The 3,212-nt window shown below is 38.1% G+C and overlaps 1 long non-coding RNA gene across 1 annotated transcript; it reads left to right on the forward strand.

The window, feature by feature from the left end:
- Window positions 1-1,065: 1,065 nt before the first annotated feature.
- On the forward strand, window positions 1,066-2,348 carry LOC105370317 (uncharacterized). Its single transcript, XR_931647.3, has 2 exons — window positions 1,066-1,293; window positions 1,995-2,348. It is a non-coding gene; the product is annotated as an uncharacterized LOC105370317 (long non-coding RNA).
- Window positions 2,349-3,212: the final 864 nt, after the last annotated feature.

A 3,212-nucleotide genomic window follows, 5' to 3' on the forward strand; every position in this document is an offset into this window, starting at 1 on the left:
CAGGCACCCGCTACCACGCCTGGCTAATTTTTGGATTTTTAGTAGAGATGAGGTTTCACCATGTTGGCCAGGCTGATCTCAAACTCCTGGCCTCAGGTGATCCACCCACCTCAGCCTCCCAGGTGTGAGCCACCACACCCAGCAGGTATTTCCTTATAGCAATGCAAGAACAGATTAATGCACTCCTTCCCCCATGAAGACAATTGGGTGGTTATTTTTTGAACAAAATTATTCAAAGCATTCTCATCTTCTCATTGTAGCTTATCTACTACATTATGATTTCAAATTCAAAATTTAAAATAAATGACTATAAGGCACCTATTTGTAAAATTTAGAAGTAATTTTATTGATATCTGTCCTTTTATTTTAAAAAAGAGAATGAAATACTTTGTTTAATCACCAGTAGAGCCATATTTAGCAGATAAATGCCTGGAATGATCTGACTCAGACTTATGTCTCCATCATCTCCTTCACTGAGATTGTATGTAAAAATCTCTTGTTTCCCTCCATGAAGCGTGAATGGGCTCTTCAGTCTGGTTTTCTTGTTCTCATTACACTCATCTTCAGCTTCATTTCCAATGGTTTTATTTCTTTTTTTAGGCCCATGCAGTTAAAAATCATTAGTTTCAGTTGCAATATACAATTTCAGGCAAGGGCTGATGATATCTGCACTGTAATGGATACCCTCTAAGATCAGCACTTTATATCTATCCCTAACAGGAAATTTTTTATCAGCGGCATTGCTATCAGACTTAAGAGGATCAAAGCATATAACAGCTATTATCAGATAGATGCTACCTTATCCTTTACAGAAAAAACTGCCACTATACGTGGTAAATAATCTTTTTCATCATTTCTTCTGGGCACTTGTTTTTATCACCCCCTTAGACTGAGATTATAGGCATGACTCTAGTGCCAGTCTTGAAACAATCTTCTCTCATAGTCCCTCCATATACTACTTCCTACATTGTACATCATAACTATGGCCAATATAATTTACTCAAGAGCAAAATAAGAACAGAGAGATCAGAACTCTATTTATGATGTCAGACAGTGTGGGAGAGACCTTAGCTCCACGCGTCATGTCTCCCAATTCCTCTGATTTTAGCCTCAGCTGATGGACAGTGCCACACAAGTTCTGATTGACAGTTACTCACCTCAAGCATACTCCATACATCTTTCTGCCAAGAACATTCTGCAACATTATGAAGTCCATGTGCCCTATATGCAAGTAAAGCCAGAAGTCCTGGAGTAATACCTCCAGTAGCAGCCCCTATTGGGAAACAGAAGCCAGTGAGTAAATGCCCCTGCCTCCTGTCCTCAGGGTGATAATTTTGGAAATTGTAGTAGACATTCTGTCACTTCTCAACAGGACCTAGTAGAATCAAGTGAATGCTGTGCACAGGCACAAACTCAATAATACATCTCCCTGTTAGCTTTTTTCGCCATCCCTGTCTCACTTTGGCCACCCTTTCACCCCTACTTTCACATCAACTCCAGTATAAACTACTCACACCTAGGTCTTTGTCTCAAGGGAATACAAACTAAGACAGGTTACTTTGTTAACAACTTGCTATTCCTTTAGAACAGGGATCAGCAATTTTTTTCTCTAAAGGGGCAGATTGTACATGTTTGTGGTTCATATGGTCTTTGTGGCCGCTACTCAATTCTATCATTTTAGAGTGAAAACAGCCATAAACAATGCACAATGAATGGGTGTGACTATGTTCTAATTAAAATATATTTATGAAAACTGGTGGTGGACCGCATGCTGTCCGTGGGCCATAGATTGCTAATCTCTATGAAGCGGAAATTATTTCTGTAATGCATTAGAATATGCTTAGTTTCCCCTAGGCTTCAGTATCCTAATGATAATAATTGGTGAAACTAACAATTACATTTTATTAAAATGATTACATATGAGGCATTATTTCTAGCAGGTGTTTTACATATATTATCATGTTTGACTCCACGTTTTTATATTATTTATGCAGAAACTGAAGCTCAGAAATGCTGTGCTTATCATTCATGTTGTTCACCAAAGAGTTGTTTTATGCGGACTTACGTCTTCATCGTCTCCTTCACTGAGGTTGTATGAAAAAAATCTCTTGTTTCCCTCCATGAAGCATGAATGGGCTCTTCAATCTTAAACAATCTGTCCATCAGCTGAGGCTGAAATCAGAGGAATTGGGAGACATGATGCAAGGAGCTAAGGTCTCTCCCGCACTATCTGACATTATAAATAGAGCTCTGTTCTCTCTGTTCTTATTTTGCTCTTAAGTAAATTCTGTTGGCAATAATTATGATGTACAATGTAAGAAGTAGTATATTGAAGCGATGAGAAAAGATGGTTTCAATTGTTTTTTAGCCTCATTACACTCATCTCCAGCTTAATTTCCAATGGTTTTATTTCCTTTTAAAAGTCCTTGCAGTTAAAAATCATTAGTTTCAGTTGCAATACAAATTTAGGCAAGGGCTGATGATATTTGCACTGTAATGGATACCCTCTAAGATCAGCACTTCAAAGTACATAATTATGTACTTGCCTTCTAAGTACATAATCGAACTGTATTGCCTCTCGCTGGTGGGGTGAAGCCACCTAATAACTTCTAGGCCATGTGTTATGAGCTTTAATTGATACTAAATGATGCTCCAGAACTCTTTTCTTTTGTTCCATTATTGACAAATTCCAGATAGTGGGTTCCAGATTGAGGCAAACAGAAGGCAGCAAATACCAGTGGCAAGTAACTTGAGAGAAAAATACATCTGATATTTGGAAATTATTTGTTACCAGTGTATAACTTAGCCATCCTGACAAATATGAAAGCTAAATAACTTGACCATTAACATAGCTAATAAGTGGCATAGATCAAATTTGAATACAGATCTTCAAACCCCAATGCCTGACCTCTTTCCACTGTACCTCCCTTACTATGTGTTAGTCTTTTCTGCATATTAAAAACAGAAAAAACCAACAATATTTTACGGTAAATTCTCCCTGTCAAGGGGTGCTACTGTCTGAAGGGCCAAAGGTCTCCTGTCTTAGCTGTGTTGAAAACCCAGGAAATAGGGATAATCCGGAAAAGGTGAGCAAAAAAGAACACTGGTTCTTGAAAAATTGTCAAGTACATAGTATTTATATTCGCTGGCCTCCCATCTTTTTCCTACTCTAAGCCACAGTTCCTATCACAGAAAGACTCTGGGACATCTGT

This window comes from Homo sapiens, chromosome 13 (assembly GCF_000001405.40).
Source record: "Homo sapiens chromosome 13, GRCh38.p14 Primary Assembly".
Classification (NCBI taxonomy): domain Eukaryota; kingdom Metazoa; phylum Chordata; class Mammalia; order Primates; family Hominidae; genus Homo; species Homo sapiens.